Source organism: Homo sapiens, chromosome 2, assembly GCF_000001405.40.
Source record: "Homo sapiens chromosome 2, GRCh38.p14 Primary Assembly".
Lineage (NCBI taxonomy): Eukaryota > Metazoa > Chordata > Mammalia > Primates > Hominidae > Homo > Homo sapiens.
The window spans coordinates 42,358,704-42,374,537 of record NC_000002.12 but is presented as its reverse complement, the minus strand read 5'-3'; the positions used below and the strand labels follow the sequence as shown (position 1 = coordinate 42,374,537).

At 45.2% G+C, this 15,834-nt stretch overlaps 1 protein-coding gene across 8 annotated transcripts in view, besides 9 other annotated features; it reads left to right on the top strand.

Moving 5' to 3' along the window:
• Positions 4,106-4,607: an enhancer, noted in NCBI's record as "H3K27ac hESC enhancer chr2:42597071-42597572 (GRCh37/hg19 assembly coordinates)". NCBI's record gives its function as "activates a minimal SCP1, AML or CMV promoter by ChIP-STARR-seq in naive H9 embryonic stem cells {active_cell/tissue: H9 hESC(naive)}" and the evidence as "EXISTENCE:reporter gene assay evidence [ECO:0000049][PMID:30033119]".
• The window catches only part of COX7A2L (cytochrome c oxidase subunit 7A2 like), a 33,399-nt gene continuing 23,145 nt past the window's right edge, over positions 5,581-15,834 (top strand). For 3 of the 8 annotated variants that reach the window (NM_001319038.2, NM_004718.4, NM_001319040.2), the window contains exon 1: positions 13,321-13,448. In NM_001319038.2, the coding sequence (NP_001305967.1) occupies positions 13,377-13,448 (72 nt within the window). In that variant the 5' untranslated portion in view covers positions 13,321-13,376. Of the gene's footprint in view, positions 5,671-8,663; positions 8,786-9,269; positions 13,601-14,499; positions 15,433-15,834 lie in introns of those variants that run through there. The other 5 variants (XM_047446291.1, NM_001319036.1, NM_001319037.1 and 2 more) reach the window with 5 other exon arrangements.
• Positions 12,581-12,670: an enhancer, noted in NCBI's record as "active region_15648". NCBI's record gives its function as "activates an Ori minimal core promoter by ATAC-STARR-seq in GM12878 lymphoblastoid cells {active_cell/tissue: GM12878}" and the evidence as "EXISTENCE:reporter gene assay evidence [ECO:0000049][PMID:35858748]".
• Positions 12,660-13,403: an enhancer, noted in NCBI's record as "H3K27ac hESC enhancer chr2:42588275-42589018 (GRCh37/hg19 assembly coordinates)". NCBI's record gives its function as "activates a minimal SCP1, AML or CMV promoter by ChIP-STARR-seq in naive H9 embryonic stem cells {active_cell/tissue: H9 hESC(naive)}" and the evidence as "EXISTENCE:reporter gene assay evidence [ECO:0000049][PMID:30033119]".
• Positions 12,660-14,148: a biological region, named in NCBI's record as "H3K27ac hESC enhancers GRCh37_chr2:42587530-42588274 and GRCh37_chr2:42588275-42589018".
• Positions 12,861-13,030: a silencer, noted in NCBI's record as "silent region_11403". NCBI's record gives its function as "represses an Ori minimal core promoter by ATAC-STARR-seq in GM12878 lymphoblastoid cells {active_cell/tissue: GM12878}" and the evidence as "EXISTENCE:reporter gene assay evidence [ECO:0000049][PMID:35858748]".
• Positions 13,231-13,290: an enhancer, noted in NCBI's record as "active region_15647". NCBI's record gives its function as "activates an Ori minimal core promoter by ATAC-STARR-seq in GM12878 lymphoblastoid cells {active_cell/tissue: GM12878}" and the evidence as "EXISTENCE:reporter gene assay evidence [ECO:0000049][PMID:35858748]".
• Positions 13,311-13,630: an enhancer, noted in NCBI's record as "active region_15646". NCBI's record gives its function as "activates an Ori minimal core promoter by ATAC-STARR-seq in GM12878 lymphoblastoid cells {active_cell/tissue: GM12878}" and the evidence as "EXISTENCE:reporter gene assay evidence [ECO:0000049][PMID:35858748]".
• Positions 13,404-14,148: an enhancer, noted in NCBI's record as "H3K27ac hESC enhancer chr2:42587530-42588274 (GRCh37/hg19 assembly coordinates)". NCBI's record gives its function as "activates a minimal SCP1, AML or CMV promoter by ChIP-STARR-seq in naive H9 embryonic stem cells {active_cell/tissue: H9 hESC(naive)}" and the evidence as "EXISTENCE:reporter gene assay evidence [ECO:0000049][PMID:30033119]".
• Positions 14,833-14,912: an enhancer, noted in NCBI's record as "active region_15645". NCBI's record gives its function as "activates an Ori minimal core promoter by ATAC-STARR-seq in GM12878 lymphoblastoid cells {active_cell/tissue: GM12878}" and the evidence as "EXISTENCE:reporter gene assay evidence [ECO:0000049][PMID:35858748]".

Here is a 15,834-nt window from a genome sequence, read left to right as displayed (position 1 = left end):
GGGAGCAGATTCTTAATGGGGGAAAATGTGGGGAAAGAGGACTTGATGAAAAAGGTTTGGGGGTAAATTGGAGGGGAAGGGACTACAGTCTTGGGCACAGGTGGAGTAGCCCAGGGCTAAGGGCCAGCCAGGGAAAAGAAGAAGGTTAGGAGAGACACTTCTGTGAAAAAAGTAGGAAACAGACAGGATAAAGGTAGAGAAGAGAGAGAAGTCAGAGGTGGAGTCTGGACCTATGTCTGAGAGAAAACATGTGGAGGAAGAACTAAGCCCTTCAAGTGGAAATGCAGAGATGCAATTCATCCATTTGCTTCACAAATATTTACTGAGCTCCTGCTCTGTACCAGGCAAGAGAGACACAGTCCCTCCTTTCATGAGCTAACCCTCCAGAGGAGGAGACAAACATTTAAAAGGTAAGCATGCCAGGTGCAGTGGCTCGTGCCTATAGTCCCAACACTTTGAGAGGCCAAGGTGGGAGGATCACCTGAACCCAGGAGTTCAGTACCAGCCTGGGCAACATGGTGAATCCCTGTCTCTACAGAAAATACAAAAATTAGCCCGGCCTGGTGGTGGATGCCTGTAGTCCTTGCTGCTCGGGAGGCTGAGGCAGGCAGGGGAATTGCTTGAACCAGGGAGGTGGAGGTTGCAGTGAGCCGAGATTGCACCACTGCACTCCAGCCTGGGCAACAGAGTGAGACTCCGTCTCAACAACAACAACAAATCCTAAGTATTAAATTCATAGATACAGAAAGTAAAATGGTGGTTGCCAGGGGCTGGGAGGAGGGGGAAATAAAGAATTGGTGTTTATGAGTACAGAGTTTCAGTTGGGGAAGATAAAAAAGTTCTGGAAATGGATAGTGGTGATGGTTGTACGATAATATTCTTAAGGCCACTGACCTGTGTACTTAAAAATGGCTAAAATGGTTATATGTATTTTCATACACACACACACACACACACACACACACACACACACAAAGCTTTGTCTTTTTGGAGAAGTCAAGGGTAGATAAGCCAAGCGTGGTGGCTCACACCTGTAATCCAAAAAATACAAAAATTAGCTGGGCGTGGTGGCACACGCCTGTAATCCTAGCTACTCAGGAGGCTGAGGCATGAGAATCACTTGAACCTGGGAGGTGGAGGTTGTGGTGAGCAGAGATCATGCCACAGCACTCCAGCCTGGGCAACAGAGCAAGACTGCCTCAAAAAAAAAAAAACCAAAAAACCCAGAAAAAAAAAAAGTCAAGGGTGGTGTTCTGTTCCACAAAGAAGTGCAGCTCTTCTAGTAATAAAGTCTATCATTTTTGAGTCTTCAATATGTGTCAGGTAAGCAATTTATTAATATATTATTTTATTTTCTCAATAACCCTGAGGTAGGTACTGTCATCTGCATTGTACACAGAAGGCAACTGAGGCCTAAAAAGGTTAAGTTCCTTGTTCAAAGTCTCGAGCTGATAAGGTGCAGTCAGGGATGGAATCTGGCTGGTTGGCTTCAGAGTCTAACCTTTAGCCCTCTTGCTGCATCCTCTTTCTAGTAAAAGACAGACAGATTAGCTGAGTAGGCAGCAGCTCTTGGAAAGGAGCTAAATGCAGGTTCTGGGAAATGTGAGCACCAGCAGTCTTGCATTCATGGGACTTGAATAAGTCAAAAGCATTTTGCTGAGTTCTGGATTTCTGCACCCTCCACAGGGATTCTTCCGAGCAGGGATGGTGGTTCCCTGCACTTTCCACATCACACTATAACACACTGTCACTTCTCCCCTACAGCCCCCCTCCCTTTTCTTAGAACCCACTGCCTTTTTGACATGAAAAATGTACTATAATGAGTCTACTGGCTAATTAATTAAAAGGGAAAAAAAATCCCAATCTTCACATATGAAATGATTAATTACATAAGCATTAACGCCTCTGCACACTCAGAATGGCATGTCTTCAATTTAAACTTTTCCAGCACATTATTTTCTGCTGATATGTGTGTTTTATGCCCATACAAGGCTAATTTCTCATACACCCCAGCCCATTTCACAGCAAATGGCCCCAAATGGTGTTTATCCTGCTCATTAGGAGCCTATATCAATGAAGCAGGCCTGGCTGAGCTGCCTGTCCAGGCCTGCAGAGCCTGGTCTGGTGCATCTGCTCTGTGCACCCTCCAGCTGCCTGGGATATACCAGCCCCCACCCCACTATTTAGGGACTGGCTGCTGCAGGGTGAGTCCTTGGTGCTTTTCACAAGGCCAGGGCAGAACTCTGACATCAGAGAGCGCTGTTATGCAGTGCTTGCCCTTTATGGATTTTTAAAAGCTTGTTGTTTGGCCCAGACATGTGGCTCCCAGCTGCCTGCTTACTGAATCTTTCCCTTGTTTGTTCTTAACCTGAAAAGTCTCATCTCCCTCTTCCTCCCCTTCTTCCCAGAGCTTGGTCTGCTGCTGCCCACCTGTGCCCTGCTTAAAAACACTTTGCTTCCCCTTACCTGTGACCCCTTGGCTTGACCTTTGCCCCTTGCAAGGGGTGAGACCAGGGCTTCAGGGCCTGCTCCGCGGGGCTTGCTGGGAGATTGGGCTGTGAGTGGGCAGCCAGAAAGACTTGTGTACTGCTCCTTCCCTGGTGCCCACCGTCTCAGGACAGAGGCCACTTTATCTTCAGGGGATTCACCCAGGCCCAGGGATGGCGCTCAGATCTGCGAATATGAACTGGTTGCTGAACAAGCAGCAGCATGCGAAACATTTCTCAGAGGAATAAGTCGCCACGTCACAAATCAGAAATGTTGAAATGCAGTGAACTGTTGGATAGAGTGGTTGCCTAAATTAGGGTGAGAAACGGACCTGTCATTAGCAATAGAAGAACTTGCCTATGCCTCTGGCTATAAAAACCGTAATATGTTAGAAGCCTACAGAGGCAAAAACCCTATGTGGCTAAAAGATGAAGCTATTAATGGTGGGCACATGCTGAGGATGGTACTTCTAATCTCCAGAAGCATATAATGGTATTTTCCCCACTGAAATTATAAAAAAGAGAAGCTATTATGGTTCAACATTTAGACAGGAAATAAAGCACTTTTCAAAACAAATTGAAATTATTTTACTCCTGTAGTCTGAACTCATTAGCAAATAAGGTGGAGTTCCTTCTTCTTCTTTTTTTTTGTTTTTGGCCTTATTTTATTTTTTTTTTTTTTTGAGACAGGGTCTTGTGTTCCCCAGGCTGGAGTGCAGTGGTGTAATCTTGGCTCACTGCAACTTCTGCCTCCCAGGCTCAAGTAATCCTCTCACTTCAGCCTCCCAAGTAGCTGAGACTACAGGTACGTGCCACCACACTTGACTAATTTTTTAAGGTTTTTGCAGAGACGCGGTCTCGCTATGTTGCCCAGGCTGGTCTTAAACTCCTGGGCTCAAGAAATCCTCCTGCCTCAGCCTCCCAAAGTGCTGGGATTACAGGCGTGAGTCACTGCACCCAGCCTGGATCTCCTTCTTTCGGGACTTGGACAAATAGGAAGGCTGCTCTTACACTGGCTTTCTCCTTCACACCTTAATCTCCTTACACCTGTGTTATCCAATATAGCCACTAGCTGTATGTGGCTATGTTAAAATTAAATTAAAAATTCAGTTCTTCAGTTGCACTAGACACATTCCAAAGGCTCAGTAGCCACATGTGGATGGTGGCCACCATACCGGCCAGCACAGGCACAGAACATGACCATCATCAGAGAACATTCTATTGGACAGCACTGCTCATCTACTTTTATTGTTGAATTTAACTGTGCATTTTTGGTAAAACTTATTGAACAGCATTTTTGCATCCTGTAAGGAATTTAACACCAATGCTCCTTCTACAGGGTTACATGATGTTGTTTCTTTATTTCATGGCCTTTCTTAGAAATGAAAAGTTCCCCATGATTTTCTTTTTTTTCTTTTTCTTTTTTTTTGAGATGGCGTCTCGCTCTGTTGCCCAGACTGGAGCGCAGTGGCGCGATCTCGGCTCACTTCAACCTCTGCCTCCTGGGTTCAAATGATTCTCCTGCCTCAGCCTGCTGAGTAGCTGGGACTACAGGTGCCCGCCACCACACCCAGCTAATTTTTTGTACTTTTAGTAGAGACGGGGTTTCACCGTGTTAGCCAGGATGGTTTCTATCTCCTGACCTCATGATCCACCCGCCTCAGCCTCCCAAAGTGCTGGGATTACAGGCGTGAGCCACCGTACCCGGCCACCCCATGATTTTCTGAATCAGAGTTCTGCAAGGCCAGGAGATGGTATAAATGTCTGATGGCAGCAGACCAGCCTCCGGCCTCCTTCCACCAACTGCCTCACTGTTCCAGGGCCACTGCTGCTGTCCCCTCCTAACTGCCCCAGTTCCATCCACCCCATTACCTTTTCAGCTGACTCTATCCATTTTCCCTGGGGACCATCCCCTTACGGGCACGACAGTGTCAAAACTGAGCAGCCTGCAGAGGCCCAGCCCCATAAGGGCATGGTAGCAAAGTTCCATTTGTGCCCATGATGGGTGCTGAACAGTTGCAGGCCTCCAGTGGCTGTCAACTCAGGTGACATGTGATGTCATCAAGGGAATTTAATGGAAATAGATTGGAAAGAAATTCCTTCCCACAATATTTGCAATCAATATAGGTTTGGTCTTTTTTGCTTTGTTTTTAATTCTGAGGTGCAAAATCCTCACCAAGAGTTATTCTTCTCGCATCATTTAACTTAGAATCCTACCGGGCTACTCACCCTGAAGCTTGCAGGATACATGGCACTTTTACAACCCACCGGAAATTAAGTGCTAGTTGATTGACAGCATTACAGCTCTCTTAGAAGAGTCTATACCACCCCTCCCCCAGCTCTCTAATTTGATCAGCTCCTAGAGTGTGCTTAGCTGGAGATGGACAGCCCCTGGCAGTCCCAGAGCCTGAAGAAAGTAGGCCTGGTAACCTGGTTTGGATTGCTGTGGTTAAGACCTTGTCCTGGACACTAAGTGCTGGCTGGGCAGGCTTTCAGAACAAAAGGCAAAGTGCCTCTTGTGGAGACTTGTAAGACCCTCCTGGGGAAAGCATGATTTGAAGGCCCATGGCACCCACTGAGTCTCCTAGGTCTTCTCTAGGACCAGCCCTGTCCTTGCTGGGGAAGTTTCCTTGGTGCCTTTTCGTGTTGGGGGTAAAGCCTGAAAAACACTGTGTACAGGCAGTCTCATTAGCCTACTGAAAAGCAATAATACTCCACTGTTTGTGGAAGAATCCTTTGCAATTAAAGCAAGCAGAGGAAAAATTATTAGGGAGCTAAGTTATTAGATCTGTTCCATGGAACACTTTTTTTTTTTTTTTTAAACCAAGCTCATTTTCCTGAGAAAAAATTTAATGCAATCTCTCCCTCTTTTAAAGCCACCTGATGCCACCATGTTCTGCCTGTAGCAGCAAGCAGATGCCCAAAACAGGAGGACATCACGGTGATAGGCCACAGAGAACATGGCTGGGGCGTGTGCCAGGCAGGACAATGCAGGGAAGCCAAAAACAGTGGGAGAAAACACAATAAAGTGAGACCCGCCCAGAATGGTAAACACAGCAGCAGAGCTACCACACACTTCCCTTCTGGGAGCGGTGGGGAAAGCAGCCAGGGAGGTCGGGAGATGGACGGAAACTGCTGGGGATGTGAGAAGCCTGGGGCACTAACTGGAGTTGTTATTGACTTGGTAAGTCTAAGAGCTACCATTTACTGGGTGCTTGCTATGTGCCAAGGTTGGGGTCTACTGGAGAAGAGGATTGATAAGATTTGGCAAAATCCTACTCCATCCAGTCTGCTCAGTTGCTGCAACTACTAGTAATAACAGTAACTGCTGCAGTTTAATGAGTGCTTACTGTGTCCTAGGCATTCATATGAATAAACTCAATCCTCACAAAGTAGATATCATTCCCATTTTATAGATAAACTGAGGCTCAGTGAAGTGAAGAATCTTGTGGCAGATACATAAGCCACTAATTAAATACTGCTGATAATTAGCATCACAAGAACTTTCAATTCACTGGGTTAACAAGGTCCTCATTGCACAATGGTGGAAAAAGGAAAGTGATTTTTATGATTAGGGAACAGTTGTTATGAGCTTTTTAAACAAACACACTGTTGATATTCAACTGTTACCTGTGTTATTCATATTACTAAATCATTTATTTTGACTAAATAAATGGAATTGCTTTAGAGAGACATTTAATGTAACCCATTCTTTAAATTCACAGAGATTTTTGTAATGCTCTCAATATTTCTTTTTAGTGGGTGTGGGAGAGCTGGGGACAGGAAGGAAGGTGGGGTGTTAAAAGGCAAACATAGAAAAGATTCTTCATAAAAAAAAGAAAACACATCTAGAAATGATTGCTCCATAAACAAAACATGAGTGCACACAGCAATTTCATGTTCTTGTTCCACCCACTCGGTTGTTCTTAATGATTCAAGAACAGAACTGCCTGGGCAGATTTACAGGCTCTGCATTCCTGACATCTGTGCCGAAACAAGGCTATGTGTGTTACAGAGTGCTTGCTTCTTCCCAGGGGGAGAAAACACAAACACCTTGATTTGATTTTTACCTTTGCCATGGTTTAAATTAAAATAGATGTGGTTATTCTCCAATATGCATCTGTGGGCTGTTAGGGTATAGGAGTGGTGCCAGGGAAGAGGACACGGTAGCCTTGCAGTTTGGGGGTGGAAGAGATGTGAGGATCATACAATGAAACGCCAGCAATCCTGTCTGCATTGGGCTCTCCCTGCTGTCAGAAAGCTGAGCTTCAGCATAAGTCTTTTGCTGGAAACCCCTGGGTTGTTTGGAATTGCTTTTCAGCAAATTTCTCCCCTGGCTCAGAGTGCCAATCGGTGGTCAGTGGAGGGCACAGCCATGCTAACGGCAGGCGTGTCGCTGGAAGTTCCAGGGCCAGGGCCAGTGCCCCTTGACTTGGGCTTTCCAAGTTTCTCAGTTGTGCTTTTGGGAATGTCATACCCTCTCCAGTTCCCTTTCTTTTAAGGAGGAGATTTGCCTTCCATTAGATACTTTTCACTGATTGATAACTTCCTCCTAGCTTTTTTTTTCTTTATAGGTTTTGTTTCCTAGACTACAGACCTGTCCATTTCTCGGGAGAAGACCCCAGCTCTCCTCCCCAAGTTAGCCATTTTGGAATCACTTGGCAGGCCTTGCCTAGGCACTAGTGGACACACGCTGGTACCTTTGCTACCTGGTAATACGTGGCTAATCCTCTGATTTAGAACATCATTTCACCTCTGAGACTCAGAGTGGGGAAGTAACTTATTCAAGGTAACTGAGCTTGTCAGTAGGAAGATCTGGGATCCAGACCCAGGTTAGTCAGGTACAGCCTATGTACTTGTCACCCTCTTCAGAAGGCAGATCTTAGGGCCATGACTTTCAGTTTCTATGGAGCAGAAACTTAAAGAAATGCCAAATCTCCACCATCTGAGAATCTGAGGAGAAAGGGGAAGCAAGTAAAATTATGTATTTGGCACTTGGAAGTGATCTGATTTTTAAATTTAATGCCAATGCTAAAAGGTTGGCTGGTATTTTAGTGGGATACCCAACTCCTCTCTTTGGTCTTCAAGCTTTATACAGATTCCTTATCTTTGATGGCTGTTTTCATACCAGGATCCACCTGACAGCTCTAGTCTGACTGTCCCACAGCCTTAACTAATAGTTACTACTTCTGGGGAAGGGAGGCTGAAGAGGGAAGAACAAGAGAGAGAGAAAGGGAAGGGGGCTGGGGAAATGGAGAGATTTGTAGATTATAATTTTTCTTATAACCAGCTAACTTTATACAAACATAGACTAGACTCAAAACTCTAATGCTTTACATCATGCTAAATTAATTTTTGGGCAATATCAGTGACTGCAGATCCAGTTTTACTACTTTTACAAAATGTATTTCCTATATAGACTTCCAGGTATTTACATATTTTCTTTAAGCTTTTTCAGTACATACCATCTTATTTAATCTTTGCAATCACCCTGTTAAACTGAAAATTTTATCTTGTGACTAAGAGATGTTAAGGAACTAGCCAAAGGTCATAAATCTAGTGCAGGGTTGGAATCTGGACATCCTGACCTTCAATGGCTAGCAGAGCACCCTATGTTTTTGTTTTTTTGAGACAGGGTCTCATTCTGTCACCCAGGCTGCAGTGCAATGGCACGATCTTGGGTCACTGCAGCCTCAACCTCCTGGGCTCAGGTGATCCTCCCACCTTAGCCTCCCAAGTAGCTGGGACTACAGGTGTGCAATCACGCCCGACTAATTTTTGTATTTTAGAGATGGGGTTTCACCATGTTGCCCAGGCTGGTCTCGTACTGCTGGACTCAAGTGATCCGCTGGTCTTGGCCTCCGAAAGTGCTGGGATTACAGGTGTGAGCCACCACACCCAGCCCGCCCCTTGTTTTGTTACTGAATAGATTCAGGTAGCTTTTCTATAGACAAAAAGTTCTACTACCTCAAAAGAAAATGATCCATTGACATTAGCCTCCTTAAGACCCAGGTGTATGGTTCTTAATCTTTTCCACTTGATCACTAATTTCCATGGCTGTCTGGGCACTAATGTAAGTAACTACCCAGAGTGGTTGCTCATTTCTCCCAGCAATGTGTGGAGGTGATATGTTTGTTCTTATTCATTTGTTCATTCATTCATTCTTTTCTCCAACAGCGCTAGGAAGAAGAACCACTATAGTGTTAACTGTAATGGGCAGAATGGCCCTTTAGTCACCCTTCCTGTGGCCTAACACTTGGACACTGTCACTTAAGAGGCCCCTCACATCTACGCAGGAGGTGATTAAAGAACATTCTAAATTACCTGGTAATTTGGGGGTGTAAGTACATGAAAGCATTTTTAAAATTCTAATTTGTATGTTTTTGGTGGACTTTGTGTAATTTCTTTCTTTTTTTTTTTCTTCGGGACGGAGTTTTGTTCTTGTCGCCCAGGCTGGAGTGCAGTGGCATGATCTGGGCTCACTGCAACCTCTGCCTCTTGGGTTCAAGCAATTCTCCTGACTCAGCCTCACCTGTAGCTGGGATTACAGATGCATGCCACCATGCCCAACTAATTTTTGTATTTGTAGTAGAGATGGGGTTTCACCATGTTTGTAAGGCTGGTCCCGAACTCCTGATGTCAGGTGATCCACCTGCCTTGGCCTCCCAGAGTGCTGGGATTACAGGTGTGAGCCACCGTGCCCAACCGACTTTGTATTTCTGTGTGTGTATGTGGGCTTACAGAACTCATGTATGCTCACTGTGAAATATTTCAACACTGCAGATGTATGTGAGGTAGAGAGTGGGAATCCTCAATGATGAGAAACCACCACCCGTCCCCCAAACTGGAGGCCACTGCTAATTCTTTCATTCTATGCATAAGACAACTGTGTGTACTGTAATTTTACAGATGATGTCAATGTAAAATAGCATGACTCTGGTTTTGGATCTCAACTTTTTTCTATGCATAATTAAGTGTATTTAAAATGATTTAAAATAAATTATGAGTCATACCTCAGCCTTTCTTAACCAGTGAGATGAAATGTGATGTGTCAAAATTGAGTTAAATCCATATTCTCTGTGGATGTGCTTTTGACTTGCACATAAGGAAAAGCAGGCAGGCAAAAGTGAGGCAGTTTCACACACTGTATTGACATTCAACAACGAGAAGGTCAGAGTAGGGAGTTGATGTCAATATGTTCATCCTGTACCGCAATAAAGCTGTCCCGGCAACTGCAATCCCAGCTGCCATTTCCCCTCCTTTGGGTGAGAAATGAGCCATTCAGACCCTCAGCTCTTTAGCTATGAAAACACCATGCTTTAAGAAAGATTTGGTTTTCAATATCAATATAATCTAGGTTTCAGGCTTGGAAGATAAAATTTCCACACCAGATAGGGCTTTATTTGACAAAAACAGTAAGAGATGACAGCTGAGATTTCTGCCACATGAAAATTACCGAATAATTGCATGGCAGGTGTCATCATTCTGAATATCATAAAGTGAGTTTAGCACTCCATTTTGCTTTCCAGTATTTTACTGGGGATGCTTTTCTTGGGGTTATCAAGCAGTTTTAAATGTTGGGAAAATGTAAAAAGAGAGAGTAGACATAAACAACAATGGAAAAGGTAACACTTCACTATAACATTGCACTATGTATGTTCCATTTTCCCTCAGGGAAACTACCGTAGAATGGGCAAAATCCTTCAGAAACGGGAGCCCACAATGACCTCAACTCCTGCAGGCCTACATGTTTTTTTATCTCTGCCAGACCCACTGTCAATTTTTTTTTTTTTTTTTTTTTGAGACGGAGTCTCGCTCTGTCGCCCAGGCTGGAGTGCAGTGGCGCGATCTCGGCTCACTGCAAGCTCCGCCTCCCGGGTTCACGCCATTCTCCTGCCTCAGCCTCCCGAGTAGCTGGGACTACAGGCGCCCGCTACCACGCCCGGCTAATTTTTTATATCACTGTCAATTTTTTAAAAGTCAGCTTGGAAAAAATGAGAGAATTTAAAAAATTAACAACTATTTCACAGTTGGTTCCTATCTCTACTCAGTATTACCCAATTTAAATTTTATGTTGGTTTTCCATCCATTCCCCAGGCGCTTTCACAGAGCGGCCTGCCAGAGGCCATTAGCACACACCCCTCACAAATGGAGAAGCAGCGGCATTCAGATTCACCAGGAGCTGGACTGGCATTTGCACTCACTCAGTTCACCTGGTGATTGGCAAGCTTCTCTACTCTGAGTCGTGGTCACTTCCCTTCAGAATAGAATGTGGGGAACAACCTGAAGGGATCGTGATAAAAAAAGATTGTCTTTGATGTTGGATGGGATATGCAAATACGAATGAGAATAGGGTGCCTTAGTACTGTCAGAGTGTGCTGTGTTTTATTTGGGAAATGAGACAAAATCTTCCCATGATCAGCCATTCCATGTGACATCCCAACCCACACTCTGCTACTGACATTTTATCTCCCACTGAACAGCCTGGCTGTTGTAACATTTTCAGGATTCTTAATTTATGTCTTGCAGGATCTAAAATCAGATGGCAGGAACTTTAAGAAAATAACCAGTGTTGACAGGCACCTTATAAAAGAAGCTGGTACACCTTAGTGCTGCTAAAAGTTAGAGAATATTCTTTCGTTTCTTCTTCCAAAATATGTCCAGAAGTCAGTGGGATGGAGACAGTAGCTGTCCCAAATCATTTAATTTCTCTTTTCAATCTAAACTCTATGAAAGGCTTTTTCTTTCACTCAATATTTGCTAGCGCCTGGGACTCAAGAAGGCTAATGTCAATGGATCATTTTCTTTTGAGGTAGTCGAACTTTTTGTCGTAGAAAAATCTTCCTGAATCTATTCAGTATCAAAACATGGGGTGGGCCTGGCACGGTGGCTCATGCCTGTAATCCCAGCATTTTGGGAGTCTTGAGTTTGGCAGATCACTTGAGCCCAGGAGTTTGAGACTAGCCTGGGAAACATGGTGAAACCCCATCTCTACTAAAAATACAAAAAATTAGCCAGGCGTGGTGGCGCGCATCTGTGGTTCCAGCTACCCGGGAGACTGAGGTAGGAGAATCACCTCAGCCTGGGAAGTCAAGGCTGCAATGAGCCGAGATCACACCACTGTACTCCAGCCTGGGACAGAGTGAGACCCTGTTTCAAAAAGAATTTAAAAAAAAAAAAAAAAAAAAGGAAATCACTAGTCCCAAACCACTTATCCTTGGAGAAATATGGACATAAACCCAAATTGCATGTTCTTTCCATTATATCACAGTGTCTCTTTGTAAAAGTGGCAACTTTGGGCTGGCTTACATGAATTCGCTGAAACCTTTACAACATATTGGCGGTGCTGAATACTTGGGGCTCTTGAACGTAAGCCTGCAACCAGGATGCTGGTGTACACCCTCACCCTGGAATGCTCAGCCTTGATCCTCCTCTTTTCAGAATGGCTTCATATCTATTTATTTGTAACATAGTGCTTAACAGTAGGAAGTCTTGAGCCAAATGCCTAGCTCTGCCACTTATCCCTGACCTGAGCAAGTTACTTAGCTTCTCCAGGCGTCATTTTCCTGTATTCTAAAATGGAGATGATAATAGCATTTACCTTATAGGATTGTTGTGAAGATTAAATGAGTTTAGGGCAATGCTATATATAGGTTAGTATCATCCATCAATTTGCAACATGATTTCATAAGTGCATCTAGAATATGCTTGTGTAAACCTATGGTTAGATGATGAAGCTAAGAAAAGCCTGAGTCCATCCCTGGAGAGTAAGAAACTAGTATACTCCTTTTACACAGTACCTTGCACACAGCACAGGCTTAACAGACATATTTAAATTGAACTGAAGCGAATACTACCAGAACTGAAAGTGGTAGTTCCAGATCTTTCAGGCTCAAGGTCCAGATTTTACAAGTGTTTCTGATCACCCTCCCCCTACCTCATTTATCGCAAAGAGCAGAGGCCAGGAAAAGGATGAATAATCAATGACCTTAAAACTCAGGTGAGAATAAAAACCAGTTCTGAGAAACCGTGTGACATTTACATCCTGGTACCTGAGCTTTAGATCACTCTGCATGTGTATTTCCTCTGCACAAAGCCCAGGAGGCTACTTTTATATTATTGGGGCAAATCTCCCAACAGCCCTGGGTACTAAACAGCCTTCAGCAGGTGCTTCCAAATTTTCTTATTTGCTTCAACTCCCAGGTTGCCAGGGGAAGCTTGGCCGACAAGTCTATACTCCTGGGCAGACTGAGCAACAGCAGGTGGTGGCTTCTGGATAAGAGGTGCTCTAGGTCGGAAGGAAATAAATGAGACTACGATCAGTTAAAGTTCGGTAAAGCAAGAGACGCCTTCAACCCGACGACCAGACGGTGGCTCCGCAGCACAGACTCTCTCGGATGGTGGAATTCCCAACCGGCTTCGATGTAGCCCCGCCCCTACCCAGACCACGCCCACCAATCACCGCCCTCTCCCCCCCAGGCCCCGCCTGGAGCCCGCCCCTCCTAAAGCATGCTCCACCTGACTCCGACACTGCCGGGCTTAGTCCGCCGGGCTTAGTCCGTGGAGCGCTTGCGCATTTCTTGAGTTGTCGTGGCACTGCCCAAATCTGAATGGGGGAAAGAGGGAACTTCATATTTCCTACAGACTCCGCCACAGCGACTTTGCGTGCTCTCTTAGAGCTGGTTTTGCCTTTCGTGGTCCTGAGAACCCTGGCTTTTGGTTCCCCAATGCGGCTTAAGTGTGCAGGTTTTAAGTTAGGCGATCTTCGGGCAGCCCTAGTCCCAGCACCGGGTCCTTGCGCTGAGTCTCGGGACCACAGCCGGGGAGGCGGGGTCCTTCTCTGGGGCGGTCGCGTTGGCAGCGGATGCGGGAAGCCGGACTCTGGGCGTCATGTACTACAAGTTTAGTGGCTTCACGCAGAAGTTGGCAGGAGCATGGGCTTCGGAGGCCTATAGCCCGCAGGTACGAGTGGCGCCTGGCCAGCTCGGACATGAGAAGTGGCGGCCCTAGCCTCGGCGACAGGCAGTCGCGGCGTTGGAGCCAGGGGAGGCTTCTGCCCGCGGTCGAGTTCGTCTCTGTTCTCCTTGCACCTCCCGGGGCCTCTCCACACCAGCGTACGGTGGTCACTGAGGCTTCTTTTTGTGTACCTGCTCACCTGGCGGGGGCTGGCCTGGCGTGGAAGTTTGGTCTGGCTCACTGCAGGGGTCAAGGTGACCCCCGGGGTCACTTGTCTAAAAGGGATGGTTTGTGGGGGTCCCCAGTGTGACCCGAGTCAGAGGTCCGGCCTTCTCCCTCAATTCGAAGACATCTGGCTTTCGGCCTCCTTGTCGTTTGTCATCTGCCAGAGCCCCATAGGCAGCCTCACTTGAGCTCGAGATTAGAGAGCGCGGGGCTATAAAGGCGTTTAGAGAAACCATGGTGCAGGGGGTTGGGGGGCTATGATCTGGGTTGGGAAATTTAACAGGTTACTTAACACGTCCAGGGAGGGAAGTTGCATGCAGCGAGGTTACACTTTCCCGATTGTAAAATATTTGACAGATGCTCGTTGTTTGGGTTGTCTGAAAAGTATTCCATTTCACGCAGATTCTACCAATTGGAGTTTGACTCTCCAGCATGTGTTGGGGGTAAACATGAGGGATTTTAGAGCCCCAGACGTGCCTTTTCAAATCATGGCGTTTTCCGCTTTAATTGTGTGACCTTGGCCAAGTTATTTAATTTATTGTGAGCTCAGTTTCATCCAGGGCGGCGTTAGTACACATTAAATGAAGTGTGTCAAGTGACTAGCAGTTTGGGCAGGTGGTTGGTTCTGGATAAGTGTTAACTGTTCACCAGAAGCTGTCTGAGATAGTATATTCCCTCCTAATCCTCTAGAGAAGTGTGGGAAGTGTCGGTGAGATACGCAGTTAGACTGCAGTAGTGAGGGGCCCAGATGAGGTGTAAAGGATACTCCATTACTGTTGCTTCATTTCCTTTTTCTGTGGGACACTGCAGCTTGCCCAAGAGGCAGATGTTTAAGAAAGATTTCAGGTCTGGTACCGTGGCTCACGCCTGTAAATCACAGCACTTTGGAAGGCCGAGGCCGAGGGTCGCTTGAGCCCAGGAGTTTGAGATCAGCCTGGGGCAACATAGTGAGACCCTGTCTCTAAAAACAAAAACAGATGATTCTAATCTCAGATAAGAAGGGCAAGTTTTTTTTTTTTTTTTCGGGGGTTAGTGGGGGAGTTGCGGTGGGAACGGGAAGGAAGAGTTTAGGGTTTATAAATGTTGAGTTTGTGATATGTCATGCTTGGTAGCAGCTAGATTTTTGAATATGGAGTTTAATAAACTTGGGTGTCTTCAGCCCATAGGTGGTAATTTGTAGGGAAGAAAGGTTGGATTATAGTTAGAGTATAGAAACATGAGGGAAGGGTGGAGAAGGAGAATGTGTTTAAAGAATAGTCCGGATGAGAAGGGAAACCAGTGTGGTCTCACTGAAACCGAATTGGTAATGACTTGTAAGGAAGGAATAGTCAGCAGTGTTGCACTTCTTTTACAGATTATGTGAGAAAATGGCCATTTCTATCATCTGCTTCTATGAAATGTATTCTCCAGTGTATGGATATTAAATGTTACAGTTTGATGAGTTTGGACAAACCCATGTACTGTATAACCACACCTCCCTCAATATGCAAGATGTTACATCATCCCAGGAAGTTCCCTTGTACCCTCTGTCAATCCCTGCCACCTTCTTATTCTGACTTTTATCATCATAAATAGATAGTTTTGCCTTTTTTTGAACTTCATGTAAATGGAACCAGCTCTGACCCAGGCTGGAGTGCAATGGCACAGTCACAGTTCACTGTAGACTCACTCCTGAGCTCAAGTAATCGTCCTGCTTTTGCCTCTGAAAATGTTGGAATTACAGATGTGAGCCGCCGTGTCTGGCTGCTCAAAAAATATTTTTGAGGTTAGTCCGTGTTGTACGTATCAGTAGTTAATTCCTTTTATCCTCTTATTCTTCTGTGGGATTTCATTTTATAAATATATCACAGTTTATTCTGTTGGTGGTAGTAGATGTTCTTTTATTTATTTTTTTAAAATATTTTTTGAGACAGGTTCTTGCTGTGTTGCACAGCCTGATCTCGAACTCCCCGGCTCAGGCAGTCCTGTCACCTCAGCCCCCTGAGTGGCTGGGGTTACAGATGTGTACCACCACACTTGGTTTATGTTCTTTTAATATATCTTCAGCATAATCTAGGTTTTGTTGCTTAGTAAGAAAAAAGTAAATTTTTCGACTAAAAACTGGCATATTGTAATAAAATGGGCGCTCAGCAGAGATTACCTTGCGATGAGTTTGATATAGATAGGG